A 17,480-nucleotide genomic window follows, 5' to 3' on the forward strand; every position below is an offset into this window, starting at 1 on the left:
CCAAGTAGTGACCTAGGGTCACACAGATTGCCGTTAAGTGGCAAGATACGGGGTGTGTACTCAGGCATATCGGATCTGTAAAGTGAGGGATAAGGAACCTTAATGTATTTTGTAAATCCTCCAGGGCTGTGTGGATGTGAAGAACTGAATTGGAGCGCCACGCAGCGGTTCTCTGGCGTACAGTATCCATCCATACAGTAGGCGCTCAATAAATGTCTGCTGCACGAATGAGAAAATGAGTCAGCTGGGGCGAGATCATCCCCTAGCGTTGGTGTGCAATTGCGTGGGGATCCATTGCTTCCGACGCTACTCCTGCCGGGTCACCACAGGCGCACGTGTTCCGGCAGGGCGCGGCTTCCGGTGACCCAGCTCCGCCCTAAGCCCCATCCCAAGCCCCGCCCCTTGACTGTTCTCGCGTTCGCGGACGGCTGTGGTGTTTTGGCGCATGGGCGGAGCCGTAGTTACGGTCGACTGGGGCGTCGTCCCTAGCCCGGGAGCCGGGTCTCTGGAGTCGCGGCCCGGGGTTCACGATGTCCGACGAGGAAGCGAGGCAGAGCGGAGGCTCCTCGCAGGCCGGCGTCGTGACTGTCAGCGACGTCCAGGAGCTGATGCGGCGCAAGGAGGAGATAGAAGCGCAGATCAAGGCCAACTATGACGTGCTGGAAAGCGTGAGTGTGGGTTCGGGGCGCCCCAAGTCGCCTAACCCGGCCCGGAGTCCCTGGGGTACTGGGATGCCAGGGCGGCCTCAGTTTGGGCGCTCCGCAACGGATCTCCCTGGGAGGCCCAAGGCGCCGCAAGTGCGGCCTCTGTCGGCACAAGAAGGCAGGCAAAGAACTTTAGCAACTGAAGAGTTAGCCATATTGATATCCAGCAAGAGTTTGTGGAGCCCTGCTGTGTGCTAGGCGCTGGTTTAAGTGCTGTGCATTGTTGAGTTAATTTAATCTTTGCAACAACCCTTTGAGGTGGATGCTGTTACTCTTTCCATTTTAGGGAGGGGGAAACAGGTGTTACTTGGTGATTAAACAGCTGTCATGTGCCTCGCTGACTGCCTTATCTTAATTTTGTACTTTTTGTAAAGACAGAGTCTCACTGTGTTGCCCAGGTTGGTATCGAACTCATGGCCTCAAGCGATCCTTCCACCTCGGCCTTTCAAAGTGCTGGGATTACAGGCGTGAGCTACTGCACCCGGCATTTGCTGATTGTATCGTGAATTCTTAAACTTCAGTGTGTATATGAATTACCTGGGGATCTTATTAAAATGCAGATTTTGTTTGAGGCAAGGGAGCAGATTCTGCATTTGTAGCAAACTCCCAGCAATGCTGATGCTAGTGGTCTAAGGACCGAACTTTGAGTTACAAATAAGGCTCATCATCCTTATTGCATAAGGAGGAAACTGAGGCCCAGAGTGGGGCAAACGCCTATCTAAGGTCATGTAGTTCGGAAGTGGCAGTGGTGGGTCTGGCTCAAAAGCTGATGCAGGTTTTCTTATGCCATCTAGTGTAAAATCACAGATCAGTTTGCAGAGGAAGATGCAATTAATTATGCCCAAGTAGGGTGGGATGGAATGCATTTTAGGTGATGTAAGATGAAGTTTCTTTTTTTTTTGTCTGAGACGGAGTCTTGCTTTGTCACCCAGGCTGGAGTGCAGTGGCTCAATCTCGGCTCACTGCAGCCTCTGCCTCCTGGGTTCAAGTGATTCTCCTGCCTCAGCCTCCCGAGTAGTAGGGATTACAGGCGAGCGCCAGTACGCCAGGCTAATTTTTTATTTTAAGTAAAAGCAGGGTTTCACCATGTTGGTCAGGCCGGTGTTGGATTCCTGACCTCAGGTGATCCGCCCACCTTGGCCTCCCCAAGTGCTGGGATTACAGGCGTGAGCCACCGCGTCCGGCCATAAGATGAAGTTTCATACGGAGGGCCAGAGAACCATTTTACTGGGTGCTGACTATATGCTCAAAGTGGGATTCAGACTTCAGGTCTGTTACATTCAGAACCTGTGCTTTCAAGCAAATTACCAGCAATTTCTCAAACTTTAGTTTACTTTCTACCACATGCAGTATACTATATGCATATACCACTTGTGTTATTCCTTTGATATTTTTATTTAAATAGATCTACTTTTAATCTTATATAAATGTATTATTATTGTTATTATTATTATTGAGACAGGGTCTCGCTCTGTTGCCCAGGCTGGAGTTCAGTGGCACCATCTTGGTTCACTGCAGCCTCAATCTCCTGGTGTCAAGCAATCCTCCCACCTCAGCCTCCCAAGTAGCTGAGACTGCAGGTACGTGCCACCACGCCCAGCTAATTTTTGTATTTTTTGTAGCTATGGGGTCTCACTATGTTGCTTGCTCAGACTGGTCTGAAACTCCTGGGCTCAAGCAGTCCTCCTGCCTCTGCCTCCCAAAGTGTTGGGGTTACAGGCATGAGCCACAGTGCCTTGCCCATAAATGTATTTTAAAAGGAAATTTCAAAACTCCGCTGCATATGGAAAATGATAATCTCTTCTCTTAAATATAAGGTCAGATGCTTTGCATGTTGATACGGCATGTTGGTTGCTTCTGGCTAGCTGCTGTTGCTTGCTGAAAGCTTTCAGCCTGAAACCGTGCTCTATATTTGTTTTTAAAAAGTGGGTTTGGGCCGGGCCTGGTGGCTCACGCCTGTAATCCCAGCACTTTGGGAGGCCAAGGTGGGTGGATCACCTGAGGCCAGGATGGTCTCGATCTCCTGACCTCGTGATCCGCCCGCCTCGGCCTCCCAAAGTGCTGGGATTACAGGCTTGAGCCACCGCGCCAGGCCTACAAAAAATTTTTTTAAAAATTAGTTGGGCGTGGTGGTGCATGCCTGTAGTCCTAGCTACTTGGGAGGCTGAGGCAGGAGGATTGCTTGAACCCTGAATGTTGAGGCTGCAGGGAGCTATAATTGCACCACTGCACTCTCTTGTGGGTGACAGAGTGAGATGCTGTCTCTTTAAAAAAAAAAAAAAAAAAAAGGCCGGGTGCGGTGGCTCATGCCTCTAATCCCAGCACTTTGGGAGGCCGAGGCGGGCGGATCACGAGGTCAGGAGATCGAGACCATCCTGGCTAACACAGTGAAACCCCGTCTCTACTAAAAATACAAAAAATTAGCTGGACGTGGTGGCCAGCGCCTGTAGTCCCAGCTACTCTGGAGGCTGAGGCAGGAGAATGGCCTGAACCCGGGATGTGGAGCTTGCAGTGAGCCAAGATTGCGCCACTGCACTTCAGCCTGGGTGACAGAGCGAGACTCCGTCTCAAGAAAAAAGAAAAAAAAAAAAAAGACTGGGCATGGTGGCTCACGTCTGTAATCCCAGCACTTTGGAAGGCCGAGGTGTGTGGATCGCTTGAGGTCAGGAGTCCGAGACCAGCCTGGCCAACATGGTGAAACCCCGTCTCAACGAAAAATACAAAAATTAGCCAGGTGTGGTGGTACACATCTATAATCCCAGCTACCCGGGAGGCTGATGCAAGAGAATCACTTGAACCTGGGAGGCGGAGGTTGCAGTGAACCAAGACTGCACCACGACACTCCAGCCTGGGTGACAGAGATTCCATCTCAAAAAAAAAAAAAAAAAAAAAAAGAAGTGGACAGCTAAAACTATAAATCTCGTATAATAAAGCATAGGAGTAAATCTTCATGACCTTGGATTAGGCAAAGCCTTTTTAGATATGGCACCAAAAACACAAGCTACAAAAGAAAAAATGATAAGTTGGACTTCAACTTTAAAACTGTGTTTCAAAGGGCATAGTAAAATGAAAAGATAAGCTCCAGAATGGGAGAAAATATTTGCATATCATTTCTCTGATAAGAGGATAGTATCTAGACTATAATAAGAGCTCTTACAACTCAATAATAAAAAGACAGCCAATTAGAAGACAGGGAAAGGATCTGAATAAACATTTCTCCAAAGAAAATATGGTCAATACAAATGGTCAATGGCCAGGCGTGGTGGCTCATGCCTGTAATCCCAGGACTTTGGGAGTCTGAGGCAGGAGGATCACTTGAGGCCAGGGGTTTGAGACTAGCCTGGGCAACACAGTAAGAGCCTATCTTTACAAAAAATTCAAAATTAAAGGCCGGGCATGGTGGCTCATGCCTGTAATCCCAGCACTTTGGGAGGCCGAGGCTGGCAGATCACGAGGTCAGGAGATCGAGACCATCCTGGTTAACACGGTGAAACCCCGTCTCTACTAAAAATACAAAAAAATTAGCCGGGTGTGGTGGCAGACGCCTGTAGTCCCAGCTACTCGGGAGGCTGAGGCAGGAGAAGGGCCTGAACCCAGGAGGCGGAGCTTGCAGTGAGCCAAGATCTCGCCACTGTACTCTAGCCTGGGCAACAGAGCGAGACTCTGTCTTTAAAAAAAAAAAATTAAAAATTAAAAATTAGCCAGGTGTGATGACATGTGCCTGTGGTCCCAGCTACTTAGGAGGCTGAGACAGATCGCTTGAACCCAGGAGTTTAAGGCGGCAGTGAGCTATGAACACACCACTGCACCCGATCCTGGGCAACAGAAGATCTTGTCTCAAACCAATACAAACACAAAAGCCATTACCTTTTACACTTTACATGGGTCAGTTATATGGTATCTGAATTATATCTCAATAAAACTGTTATAAAAACAGAGGGTACTAGAGATAGCAAGTAACTGGGGTGTTGCAGAGACCAGCACCAAATGGACACTTTTGCCTTGACAATTGCAGGATTGTAGAGAATTGGGAGAGGAATATGTATTTTTGATTCAGGGTTATTTAATGCCGTGTGTGTGAGCTGCTAGTGTTATGGATCCCATCCTTTGAGAAGCATTATCCAATGTGATATTGATTCTCAAAGGCTGGTCAACCCTTAACCACTGTGGGAAGGCAGGAGCAGATACAGGTTTTTAGCCCCTGGCGCATTTCTGCAGTGTCACGGCGAGTCCTGTGTTAGGGGAGTGTGGAGAACTATCTCCCTGCGCAGTGGACAGTAGGTTTGGGTGTAACCCGGAGGCTTCCAGAGAGAAAGGGAGCAAAATGAATGGAATCCCTCTTCTCAGTGCCTGTGTACACTGGCAGCTTGTCCCTGGACTGACTAATCCTTACAGCCACTATTTATGACTTCTGCGCGTAGTCGTTTTCTGAGGCCACCTTAACACCACAGAGTTGGTGACTTAAAACAGGAATTTACTTTGTCCCAGCTCTGGAGGCCAGAAGTCTGAAATCAAGGTGTCAGCAGGGTTGGCTCCTTCTGCAGGCTCTGAGAGAGAAGCTCCCAAGCCTTTCTCCTGGCCTCTGGTGACTGCTGGCGGTCCTTGGCCTACAGCTGTGTCACTTGAACCTCTGCCTGCATCTTCATGTGGCCTTCCTCCTGTGTCTGTCCCACACCTACCTCTGCCTTTCTTTTATGAGGACACCAGCCACCAGATGAGCTTATCTCGAGATCCTTAACATAATTACATCTACAAAGACTCTTTTTCAAATAAAGTCATATTTACAGGTTCTGGGGGTTAGCTCGTGGTTATCTGTTTTTGGGGGCCGCTCTTCAACCCACTATGCTGTGTATGCGCGTGGCATGTGCTAAGTACTCTGCAGGTCAGCTCGTTAGTTCTTGCAGCAGGTAGGGAGGGAGGCGAGTGCTCCTATTCCCATTTTATAATTGAGGAAGCTGAGGCTTAGAGAGGAGAAGGTCTCAGCTAAGGATGCCCAGCTTGTACATGGCAGAGTTGAGATTCAAATTAAAGTCTAACCAATTGCAAAGCCCCTCCCCTGAACCATGTGACTGGTTTCACTGCTTTTGTGTACTCTCCTCTGACTCATGTTAAAAAAAAAAAAAGTGTTGTTTTGAATAAAGAATACATTCCCATAGGCAAAATTCAAAACCTACAGAGGGGTATAAAATGGACTGTCTCTCTCCCTGCCCTGTCACCTAGCCACCCAGTTCTTCTCCCCGGAGGCAGCTGGTGCTATCAGTTTCCTTCTTCAGATCTTTTTATTTTCAGAAGAATCAAAGCCCTGCCACAGCTGGGTGCTGTCTGGGCTTTTCACTCCCCTCTAGCTTCCAGGGCCAGCAGCCAGGTGTCAGCCACCTGTGGGAAGGAGGGTGTGAAGGAGTGGAGGAAGAGGCTGGCCTTGGGGATGATGCTCAAAGGAGTCTTTGGTTTTATCGGCACTGTTTTAACTTCAAAAAAGAATGGATTCATGCATTACTTGCGTCGTTAAAAATAAAAAATGAAAAACACAGTGCCCACCCCAGGGTAGTTGTGAGGGCATGAGTAGAGCCCCTGGTGTAAGTGATCAGTATGTGGCAGTTTTCATTACTGTCACCTTTATTATGACTTCAGAGGAGAAGGGTCTGGGGAAAGACATCCTGGGGACATTACACCCATGAGCACCTTTTAACCACGTTTCTTTCCTCCAGCAAAAAGGCATTGGGATGAACGAGCCGCTGGTGGACTGTGAGGGCTACCCCCGGTCAGACGTGGACCTGTACCAAGTCCGCACCGCCAGGCACAACATCATATGTGAGTGGCCCTCTTAGAAGACTTTCCCCACCTTGTGGTGGGAAGGTGTTAAAGGCATACAAATAAAACCAACTATCTGTATTATCTACTGCCTTCTCTTCTGCCTTGATGGGATTGTCTTGTCCCCATCCAAGGACTGAGAACCAAGGGAATGGGCTAGACTCTAAGGTTCTATATTTCTGGTTTCATTTTCTCTCTCTCTCTCTCTCTCTTTTTTTTTTGAGTCAGGGTCTTGCTCTGTCTTCCAGGCTGGAGTGCAGTGGTGCTAACATGACTCACTGCAGTCTCAACCCCCCAGGCTCCAAGTGCTCCTTCTGCCTCAGCCTCCCAAGTAGCTGGGACTATAGGCATGTGTCGCTGTGCCTGGCTAATTTTTTTTAGTAGAGACGAGTCTCACTAAGTGGCCCAGGTGAGTCTTGAACTCCTGGACTCAAGTGGTCCTCCTGCCTTGGCCTTCCAAGGTGCTGATTGTTTTTAATTAAAGAGCTAGCAGAGAGTACAGATTGGATAGTATATTTGTTTTCTGTTTCTGCCATAACAAATGACGTGATTTGTTTTTAATTAAAGAGCTAGCAGAGAGTACAGATTGGATAGTATATTTGTTTCTGTTTCTGCCATAACAAATGACCACAGACTTAGTAGCTGGAGATAAGAAGTCCAGATGGGTCTCACTGGACTAAAATCAAGGTGTTGGCAGGGCTGGCTCCTTCTGGAGGATCTAGGGGAGAACCTGTTCCTGGTCTTTTCTGGTTTCCAAAGGCTGCCCACCGTCCTTGGCTCATGGCTTCGTCCATCTACACAGCCAGCAGTCGCATTTCCCTCCCTCTGATTCTGTCATAACATCTCTTTCTCTCACTCTCCTGCCTCCCTCTTTCACCTATAAAGACCTCTGTGATGACACCAGGCCCACCTGGATAATCCAGGATCATGTCCGAATCTTAAGGTCCTTAATCACATCTGCAGAGCCTCTTTTGCCATGTAAGGTGGCATATTCCCAGCTTCTAGGGGCTAGGATGTGGATGTGTTGGGGGCCATTATCCACTCAGCCATAGGTAGGCAACCGTCTCCACCACAGAGTCCTATTAGCATTTATCCTCCACATTTTTCACTTACTAACTCCTCTTTAATCTGTTTGAATCTTGATTCCATCTGCATCACATCTTATTTATTTATTTATTTTTTGAGACGGAGTCTCGCTCTGTCACCCAGGTTGGAGTGCAGTGGCACGATCTTGGCTCACTGCAACTTCCACCTCCCGAGTGACAGAGCAAGAGACCGTCTCAAAAAAAAAAAAAAAATCTGTTTGAGCAATTCCTTATTGGTCTTTTTTTGAAAAATCTGTTCTCGGCCGGGTGCGGTGGCTCATGCCTGTAATCCCAGCACTTTGGGAAGCCAAGGCGGGCAGATCACCTGAGGTCAGGAGTTTGAGTCTAGCCTGACCAACATGGCAAAATCCTGTCTGTACTAAAAATAGAAAAATTAACTGGATGTGGTGGCACATGCCTGTAATTCCAGCTACTTGGGAGGCTGAGACAGGAGAATCACTTGAACCCAGGAGGCAGAGGTTGCAAAGAGCCGAGATTACACCACTGCACTCCACCCTGGGCGACAGAGCAAACAAAACTCTGTCTCAAAAAAAAGAAAGAAAATCTATTCTCAAAACAGCCCTTTTTAAAGAACAGTTATAGATTTACATAAAAATTGGAAAATAATGGCTGGGTGCGGTGGCTCACGCCTGTAATCCCAGCACACTGGGAGGCCGAGGTGGGCAGATCACCTGAGGTCGGGAGTTCGAGACCAGCCTGACCAACATGGAGAAACCCTGTCTCTACTAAAAATACAAAATTAGCTGGGCATGGTGGCACGAACCTGTAATCCCAGCTACTCAGGAGGTTGAGGCAGGAGAATCACTTGAACCCAGGAGGCGGAGGTTGCCGTGAGCCGAGATTGTGCCATTGCACTCCAGCCTGGGCAACAAGAGTGAAACTCTGTCTCAAAAAAAAAAAAAAAAAGAAAAGAAAAAAAAATTGGAAAATAATGCATAGGTCCTTTGGCTTCTGTATGTAATCTCCCGTGTTGTTAACAGCATATATACACATACATGTGTATATATCTACACATACATGTAAATATATACACACATACATGTGTATGTAAAATATACACATGCGTGTATATATGCAAAATACACATATGAGTGAATGACTCAGGCTGGGTGTAACCAAGATTTCACTTTTCTCTGAAATCCTCTAGAAGGAAAAATGCTGCATAAGCTGGGCACAGAGGCTCATGCCTGTAATCCCAGCACTTTGGGAGGCTGAGGCCTCCCAAATATATACACATGTGTATACACACAGGTTCAAGTGATTCTCCAGCCTTAGCTTCCCAAGTAGCTGGGATTACAGGTGCCCACCATCACACCGGACTAATTTTTTTTTTTTTTTTGAGATGGAATCTTGCTTAGCCACCTAGGCTGGAGTGCAGTGGCATGATCTCGGCTCACTCACTGCACTCACCATCTCCCGGGTTCAAGTGATTCTCCCATCTCAGCCTCCCAAGTAGCTGAGATTACAGGCATCCGCCATCGTGCCCGGCTAATTTTTATATTTTAGTAGAGACAGGGTTTCACCATGTTGGCCAGGCTGGTCTTGAACTCCTGACCTCAGGTGATCCGCCCGCCTCGGCCTCGACAGGCGTGAGCCACCATGCCTGGCCTAATTTTTTAGTAGTATTTTTTTAGTAGAGACGGGATTTCACCATGTTGGCCAGGCTGGTCTCCAACTCCTGACCTCAGGTGATCCGCCCGCCTCGGCCTCGACAGGCGTGAGCCACCATGCCTGGCCTAATTTTTTAGTAGTATTTTTTTAGTAGAGACGGGATTTCACCATGTTGGCCAGGCTGGTCTCGAACTCCTGACCTCAGGTGATCTGCCCGCCTCGGCCTCGCAAAGTGCTGGGATTACAGGCATGAGCCACCGCGCCCAGCTAACAGCTTATGTTAATATGGTACGTTTGTTATAATTGCAAATTTGTTTTTTGAAATACACTGCAGAAACATTTTGTACTGAAAAAAACCCTTTCAACATTTTGATTAGAATTGTAATATGTTGTAAATAGTCGTTCGTTCCATTCCCCAACAGCTGTGTATTGAGCACTTCCCTGTGCCAGGCATTGCAGAGTCTAGGGATGCTGTGGACCTCACTGGGGGAGGGCTTTTCTAGTGAAAGTGACCATGTATTATGTAAGTCTGCCTCCCAAGTGCATGTCTCCACTTGTTCAGATCTGGGTTCTTTTCCCACATCTGCTCCTGTGGGTTGAGAACTTGAATCCCTTCATGACTGAGGGTCTTGCCTTTGCTCCAAAGTGACAGTGGCAGAGGAGGCAGGTCAGGTAGTACCGCAATCCCACTGACAGGCACAAGGTATCAAAATACCAGCTGCTGTGCTGGCGTGGCCTGCAGATTGCCATGGTGGTTCACAACATTTTGAATTAGCTATCTGTACTGAAAAATCAGAGAATTTCACTTCAAAGATCCCAATTTTCAGCTTTTCTGGAAAAATCAAAGATTTTGTAGCATTGGGTCTTCCTCCCAAACCCAGCCAATTGGCAAGAGCCCTGTAGCAGGGGTGCCCTTTGGCCACCTCCCTGTGGACTCCCTCTCCTGGACTGAATGTCTCCAGGATTACTAGGCTTATGCAGCACTTTTTTTTTTTTTTTTTGAGACGAATTCTTGCTTTGTCGCCAGGCTGGAGGGCAGTGGTGCGATCTCGGCTCACTGCAACCTCCACCTCCTGGGTTCAAGTAATTCTCCTGCTTCAGCCTCCCAAGTAGCTGGGATTACAGGCACCCGCCACCACGCCCAGCTAATTTTTGTTTTTGTTTTGTTTTGTTTTGTTTTTGAGACGGAGTCTTGCTCTGTTGCCCAGGCTAGAGTGCAGTGGCGCGATCTCGGCTCACTGCAATCTCCGCCTCCCTGGTTCACGCCAATCTCCTGCCTCAGCCTCCCGAGTAGCTGGGACTACAGGCGCCTGCCATCATGCCCGGCTAATTTTTGTATTTTTAGTAGAGACGGGGTTTCACCGTGTTAGCCAGGATGGTCTCCATCTCCTGACCTCGTGATCCGGCCACCTTGACTTCCCAAAGTTCTGGGATTACAGGCCTGAGCCACCACGCTCGGCCTAATTTTTGTATTTTTTAGTAGAGACGGGGTTTCACCATGTTGGCAAGGTGGTCGCGATCTCTTGACCTCGTGATCTGCCTGCCTCGGCCTCCCACAGTGCTGGGATTACAGGCGTGAGCCTCTGTGCCCGGCTTATGCAGCATTTTTCCTTCTAGAGGATTTCAGAGAAAAGTGAAATCTTGATTACACCCAGCCTGAGTCATTCATTCACATGATCACAGCGCTGGCCCCTCATACATATGCCTTTGAGTTCATGGCTGTGGATTCAGCTGGTTGTTACCTTCCTTCTGCTCACCTCTCAGGGCTCACCCGAGACAGCACTGCCTTCAGGAAGCCTTCCCTCATATCCTAGACTAGCGAGGGCAGACTTTGCTGCTGGCCAGGCCTCCCTGCAGTCATCAGATGTTATTGTAATTACTTATTCTGGAGCTGCTCCTTGCAGGACTGAATGCTCCATGAGGGAATGTCCTCTGTCTTGGTCAGAGACTCCTTCTCACCTCTAGCTCCACATCTGGCATGTAATAAGCACTTGTTAACTCTTCAGTGAATAAATGTAGGAGTCTTGTGTCCTCCACTGTCTTCCTTGGCCCCTGATGTGTGGTTCTCATCCCAGGCCTGCAGAATGATCACAAGGCAGTGATGAAGCAGGTGGAGGAGGCCCTGCACCAGCTGCACGCTCGCGACAAGGAGAAGCAGGCCCGGGACATGGCTGAGGCCCACAAAGAGGCCATGAGCCGCAAACTGGGTCAGAGTGAGAGCCAGGGCCCTCCACGGGCCTTCGCCAAAGTGAACAGCATCAGCCCCGGCTCCCCAGCCAGCATCGCGGTAATCCAGGGGTTGGCCACTCAAGTCCATGCCCAGGGGACACGGTGGGTCAGGTAGCCTTCGGGGATGTGGAAAGACAGACTAGTTCTCTCCGTGCTGCGGTGCTGAGTTCAGTTACTCATTTAACAAACACTGACTGAGGCCTGTCGTGTATCCAGCCCTGTGCTGGGGGCAGAGTTTTAGAGAGGGGTCAGCCCCGGCTGCCCACTACATTGGTGGGGGAGTGACCTCTTCCCAGTGACAGAAGATGATAAATGTCCCAAGAGAGGGAGAGGATCTCTTCTTGGGGCTCATTTTAGCTGGGCACTGAATGATGAAAATGAGAATGGCATCTTGCCAAATGAGTTATGCATCTTATGTGGTGTCTTAAAAAAAACATTAGGCTGGGCACAGTGGCTCATGCGTGTAATCCCAGCACTTGAGAAGGCTGAGGCGACTTGGAAAGCTGAGATGGGAGGATCACTTGGGCTCAGGAAGTCGAAGTTGCAGTGAGCTGTGACTGTGCCACTGCACTCCAGCCTGGGTGACAGAGTGAGACCTTGTCTTAAAAAAAATTTTTTTTTGACCGGGAGCATTGGCTCACGCCTGTAATCCCAGCATGTTGGGAGGCCGAGGCCAGTGGATCACTTGAGGTCAGGAGTTCGAGACCAACCTGGCCAACATGGCGAAACCCCGTCTCTACTAAAAATACGAAAATCATGCCACTGCACTCCAGCCTGGGCAACAGAGTGAGACTCCGTCTCAAAAAAAAAAAAAAAATTTACCCATTTAAAGTCCGTATACAGTTTAGTGTCTTTTGGTGTATTCACAGAGCCATGCATTACCACAATCAATTTTCTTTCTATTTAAAAAATTTGCAGCCAGGTGCAGTGGCTCACGCCTGTAATCCCAGCACTTTGGGAGGCTTAGGTGGGCGATCACCTTATGTCAGGAGTTCAAGACCAGCCTGGCCAACATGGCGAAACCCCATCTCTACTAAAAATACAAACATTAGCCGGGTGTGGTGACATGTGCCTGTAATCCCAGCTACTCGGGAGGCTGAGGCAGGAGAATCGCCTGAACCCAGGAGGTGGAGGTTGCAGTGAGCGGAGATCGTGCCACTACACTCCAGAGCCTGGGCGACAGAGTGAGACTCTGTCTAAAAAAAAAAAAAAAAAAAAAAGGAGATGGGGTTTCGCTCTGTTGCGTAGGTTGGTCTCCATCTCCTGGGCTCAAGTGATTCTACCACCTTGGCCTCCCAAAATGCTGGGATTATAGGCATGAGCCACCATGCCCAGCCATAATCAATTTCAGAACATTGTCATTGTCTTGTAAAGAAACTCTGTAGTGATTTGCCATCACTTCCCAATCCCCCAGCTCCCCGCACCCAGTTATCTACTTTCTGTCTCTATGTATTTGTCTATTCTGGATATTTCCTATAAGTTGAATCATATAATATGTGACCTTTTATGACTGGCTTCTTTCACTTAGCAAATTTTCAAGTCATCTGTATTGAGCATGGATCAGTGCTTCATTTGTTTACAGACAGGGTCTCACTCTCTCACCCAGACTTCAGTGCCATGGTGCCATCATAGCTCACTGCAACCTCAAACTCGCAGAGTCAAGTGATCCTCCTGTCTCAGCCTCCCAAGCAGCTAGGACTGTAGGCACATGTAACCATGCCTGGTTAATTTTTTATTTCCTTTTTTTTTTAGAGATGGGTTCTCACTATGTTGCCCAGGCTGGTCTTGAACTCCTGGCCTCAAGCGATCCTTCTTCCTCGGCCTCCCAAAGTGCTAGAATTACAGGCATGAGCTGTCATGCCTGGCCCTTCATTCCTTCTTTTTTTTTTTTTTTTTTTTTTTTTTTGAGACGGAGTCTCGCTCTGTCGCCCAGGCTGGAGTGCAGTGGCACGATCTCGGCTCACTGCAAGCTCCGCCTCCCAGGTTCACGCCATTCTCCTGCCTCATCCTCCCGAGTAGCTGGGACTACAGGCGCCTGCCATCACGTCCAGCTAATTTTTATTTTTTGTATTTTTAGTAGAGACAGGGTTTCACTTTGTTAGCCAGGGTGGTCTCGATCTCCTGACCTCGTGATCCGCCCGCCTCAGCCTCCCAAAGTGCTGGGATTACAGGCGTGAGCCACTGTGCCTGGCCCTTCATTCCTTTTTATGGCCAAATAATATTCCACTGCCTGGATATATCATATTTTATTTATCCATTTGTCAGTTAATGGACATTTGAATTGTTACCACTTTTTGGCTATTACGAAGCATGTTGCTGCGAACATTCTTGTACAGTTTTTTTGTGGAGATGTAGTTAAATTTAATTCCACAGCCACTTCTGGGATAGGTCCTAATCTTTACTCATTTCATCCTCGAGGAAAAGCCTTGCAGACCTGAAGTAACTTATGTCAGGACACATAGTTCCTGCCAGGTGGAATGGGGTCCTAAACCCTGGTCAGGACACATAGTTCCTGCCAGGTGGAATGGGGTCCTAAACCCTGGTCAGGACACATAGTTCCTGCCAGGTGGAATGGGGTCCTAAACCCTGGTCCTACCAGTCTTCTTTAATGGTCACAAGTCTGTAAGTTACACAGAAGCTCCCTATCATTCACTACCCCATCTACTGCATCTAACCCAGTGCCAGTTGGCCCACAACAAATACTTGTTACAGGGGTGAATGAGTGGTGGTCTGTCTTCTTAGGACCTAGAACAAGAGCGTCACTCTAGTCTTGGATGCGCCCTGTGCCTGTGGCTGCTTGTCTGGGGGCTTCTAGGGCAAGTGTCTTGTCTAAATGTTGATCACTGAATAAAATGGGCCCAGCCTGGCTTGCCTTCTCTTACCCTTGAACCTGGGTTAGGACCGCAGAGAGCAGCATTTGGCCTTTCCCATGCTCCTCAAGGCCTTCACAGTGTCTGGTAACTGCCAGCTCTCAGACATTGGGCAGACCTGGTCATCTTTACTAGAGCTGCCCTCAAAGGAACCCCAGGAGGAGGTGGCCCCGTTACCCACTGCCCCTTCCTGCATGAGGTGTCTACATCCCTGACCTCTTTGTTCTGAGCCTACCCTGTAGAAAACAAGCTCGTGACCTTGGCATTAAATTGGGTATTGAAGGTTAGAGACCACCAGGAGCACACTGAACCTCTAGCCTGATTTTCCATTTTTCCTTCCCTCTCCAGGGTCTGCAAGTGGATGATGAGATTGTGGAGTTCGGCTCTGTGAACACCCAGAACTTCCAGTCACTGCATAACATTGGCAGTGTGGTGCAGCACAGTGAGGGGGTGAGTGGGGCTACCTGGTGTCTCGGTCTGTTTGGGTTTTTCTAACAGTATGCCATAGACTGCGTGGCTTACAAACAACAGAAGTTCATTTTTCACAGCTCTGGAGGCAGGGAAGTCCAAGATCCAGGCACCAGCCAATTTGGTGTCTGGGGAGGGCTTGCTTCCTAACTCCTAGGTGGTGCCTTCTTGCTGTGTCCTCACATGGCAGAAAGGGGAGGAACCCTGGGAGCTCTTGTATAAGGGCACTAATCCCAGTGGGGGCGCCACCCCTCATGACCTAATCACCTTGCAGAGGCCCCACCCCTAATACCATCACATTGGTGGTTAGGATTTCAACATATGAATTTCAGGGGGCCACAGACATTCAGGTCATAGCACTCGGCCTCTGGTCTATAGCCCTGGAGTTACTGGAAGTGTTGCTGAGGCCCTGGACTGCTGCCTTCATGGTGTTGCTCAGCACAGCCCCATTCAAGGACTTGGCACCTGCTATTCCTTCTGTTTAGAATGCTCTTCCTCTTCATCCTCCTTCTGTTTTACACTGGTGACATGCTCGCAGGGGGCCTTTCCTGGCTACCCTAACCCAAATTCCCCTCTCCTCTGCCCTGTCTCTGTTTTCATTTAACAAGGTTTCTTAGAGATCTTTTCTTTTTTTTTTTTTTTTTTTTAAGACAGGGTCATGCTGTGTCACCCAGGCTAGAGTGTGGTGGTGCTATCATAACTACCTCACGGCTAATTTTTTTATATTTTGTGGAGGCGGGGTCTTGCTATGTTGTCCAGGCTGGAATTTTTGTTGTTGTTTTGTAGCAAAGATCCACACTTTTCAGGAGTGATACTGTGGCAAAGCCCAGGAAAATTATTAACTAAAGTTTTTGGTTCCCAAATGAAGTCTCCAGTTAACCCAACAGTTGTGGATTTTTTGACTCCTGCTTAGCTGCACGGTTCATCTACTTGTAACCCATCAGTGCAGGCCAGGCCAGGTCAGGTCAGGAGATGGCTGGCAGTTGCCTATGCCCCTGCTAGTGGTCAGGCCATCGTTTCTGCACTGATACTGTCATCAAATCTGTAACTTGTATGGACGTTTAAAATGATGATTTTGTGAAATTTATCAGTTTTTTTGCTTATGGCTCTTGCATTTTGTGTCCATTTAAAGAAATTCTTTTTTTTTTTTTTAATTAAGAAATTCTTGGCTGGGCGTGGTGGCTCACTCCTGTAATCCCAGCACTTTAGGAGGGCGAGGTGGGTGGATCACGAAGTCAGGAGTTGGAGACCATCCTGGCTAACACGGTGAAACCCCGTCTCTACTAAAAATACAAAAAATTAGCCGGGTGTGGTGGCACACACTTGTAGTCCCAGTTACTTGGGAGACTGAGGAAGGAGAATCGCTTGAACCCAGGAGGCAGAGCTTGCAGTGAGCCGAGATCGCGCCATTGCACTCCAGCCTAGGCGACAGAGCAAGACTCTGTCTCAAAAAAAGAAATTCTTTTAATTCTTTTATTGTTTTATTTCTGTTTTTCCTTTAGTCCATCTGAAATTTATTATTATTATTATTATTATTATTATTATTATTTGAGATGGAGTCTCGCTCTGTCACCCAGGCTGGAGTGCAGTGGTGCGATCTTGGCTCACTGCAACCTCCGCCTCCCAGGTTCAAGTGATTCTCCTGCCTCAGCCTCCTGAGTAGCTGGGATTACAGGCGCCCACCACCATGCCTGGCTAATTTTTGTATTTTTAGTAGAGATGGGGTTTCGCTATGTTGGCCAGGCTGGTCTCAAACTGGCCTCCCAAAGTGCTGGGACTACAGATGTGAGCCACTGCGCCTGGTCTATTTTTATTATTTTTACAACAGTTTTATTGAGATTTAATGCACATACTACACAGTTCACCCATTTAAAGTGGTTTTTAGTGTAGTCACAGAATTATGCAGCCATCACAATTGTACATTTTCATCACTTCTCCTCCTGAGGCAGCCACTTTCCAGCCACATGTCCTTCAGAAAGACTGCTCATATACCAGCACACAGAGCTGCCAGTTGATTTTATTTTATTAAGGTGTAATTTACCTGCACCAGATCCACCTTTTTCAGTGTACAGTCCCATGAGTTTTCTTCTTTTTCTTTTCTTTTTTTTTTTTTAGATGGAGTCTTGCTCTGTCGCCCAGGCTGGAGTGCAGTGGTGCAGTCTCGGGGGGGCTACTGCAAGCTCTGCCTCCCAGGTTCACGCCATTCTCCTGCCTCAGCCTCCCGAGTAGCTGGGACTACAGGCATGTGCCACCATGCCCAGCTAATTTTTTTGTATTTTTAGTAGAGATGGGGTTTCACTGTGTTAGCCAGGATGGTCTCGATCTCCTGACCTCGTGATCCACCTGCCTTGGCCTCCCAAAGTGCTGGGATTACAGGTGTGAGCCACCACACCCAGCCGAGTTTTCTTTTTTTTTTCTTTAAGATGGAGTTTTGCTCTTTTGCCCAGTCTGGAGTGCAGTGGCACGATCTCGGCTCACTGCAACCTCTGCCTCCCAGGTTCAAGCGATTCTCCAGCCTCAGTCTCCCAAGTAGCTGGGATTATAGGTGCCCACCACCACGCCCAGCTAATTTTTTTTTGTATTTTTAGTAGAGACAGGGTTTCAGCATGTTGGCCAGGCTGGTCTCAAACTCCTAACCTCAGGTGATCCACCCACCTCAGCCTCCCAAAGTTCTGGGATTA

The 17,480-nt window shown here is 48.3% G+C and overlaps 2 protein-coding genes across 4 annotated transcripts in view, besides 4 other annotated features; one reads left to right on the plus strand and one right to left on the minus strand.

Annotated features, from left to right (window-relative positions):
* The window catches only part of HPD (4-hydroxyphenylpyruvate dioxygenase), a 49,085-nt gene extending 48,800 nt beyond the window's left edge, over nucleotides 1–285 (minus strand). Inside the window, exon 1 of the mRNA NM_001171993.2 lies at nucleotides 99–285. The gene's annotated coding sequence lies outside the window, so the exon portion shown is untranslated. The remainder of the gene's footprint in view (nucleotides 1–98) is intronic.
* Nucleotides 121–734: an enhancer, noted in NCBI's record as "OCT4-NANOG-H3K27ac hESC enhancer chr12:122326353-122326966 (GRCh37/hg19 assembly coordinates)". NCBI's record gives its function as "activates a minimal SCP1, AML or CMV promoter by ChIP-STARR-seq in naive H9 embryonic stem cells {active_cell/tissue: H9 hESC(naive)}" and the evidence as "EXISTENCE:reporter gene assay evidence [ECO:0000049][PMID:30033119]".
* Nucleotides 121–767: a biological region, named in NCBI's record as "OCT4-NANOG-H3K27ac hESC enhancer GRCh37_chr12:122326353-122326966".
* Nucleotides 368–767: an enhancer, noted in NCBI's record as "active region_7191". NCBI's record gives its function as "activates an Ori minimal core promoter by ATAC-STARR-seq in GM12878 lymphoblastoid cells {active_cell/tissue: GM12878}" and the evidence as "EXISTENCE:reporter gene assay evidence [ECO:0000049][PMID:35858748]".
* Nucleotides 464–17,480, plus strand: part of PSMD9 (proteasome 26S subunit, non-ATPase 9) — a 29,508-nt gene continuing 12,491 nt past the window's right edge. Inside the window, exons 1-4 of one of the 3 annotated variants that reach the window (NM_002813.7) lie at nucleotides 464–668; nucleotides 6,413–6,515; nucleotides 11,308–11,519; nucleotides 14,680–14,781. In NM_002813.7, the coding sequence (NP_002804.2) occupies nucleotides 531–668; nucleotides 6,413–6,515; nucleotides 11,308–11,519; nucleotides 14,680–14,781 (555 nt within the window). In that variant the 5' untranslated portion in view covers nucleotides 464–530. The remainder of the gene's footprint in view (nucleotides 669–6,412; nucleotides 6,516–11,307; nucleotides 11,520–14,679; nucleotides 14,782–17,480) is intronic. The other 2 variants (NR_048555.3, NM_001261400.3) reach the window with 2 other exon arrangements.
* Nucleotides 735–1,348: an enhancer, noted in NCBI's record as "OCT4-NANOG-H3K27ac hESC enhancer chr12:122326967-122327580 (GRCh37/hg19 assembly coordinates)". NCBI's record gives its function as "activates a minimal SCP1, AML or CMV promoter by ChIP-STARR-seq in naive and primed H9 embryonic stem cells {active_cell/tissue: H9 hESC(naive and primed)}" and the evidence as "EXISTENCE:reporter gene assay evidence [ECO:0000049][PMID:30033119]".

This window comes from Homo sapiens, chromosome 12 (assembly GCF_000001405.40).
Source record: "Homo sapiens chromosome 12, GRCh38.p14 Primary Assembly".
Classification (NCBI taxonomy): domain Eukaryota; kingdom Metazoa; phylum Chordata; class Mammalia; order Primates; family Hominidae; genus Homo; species Homo sapiens.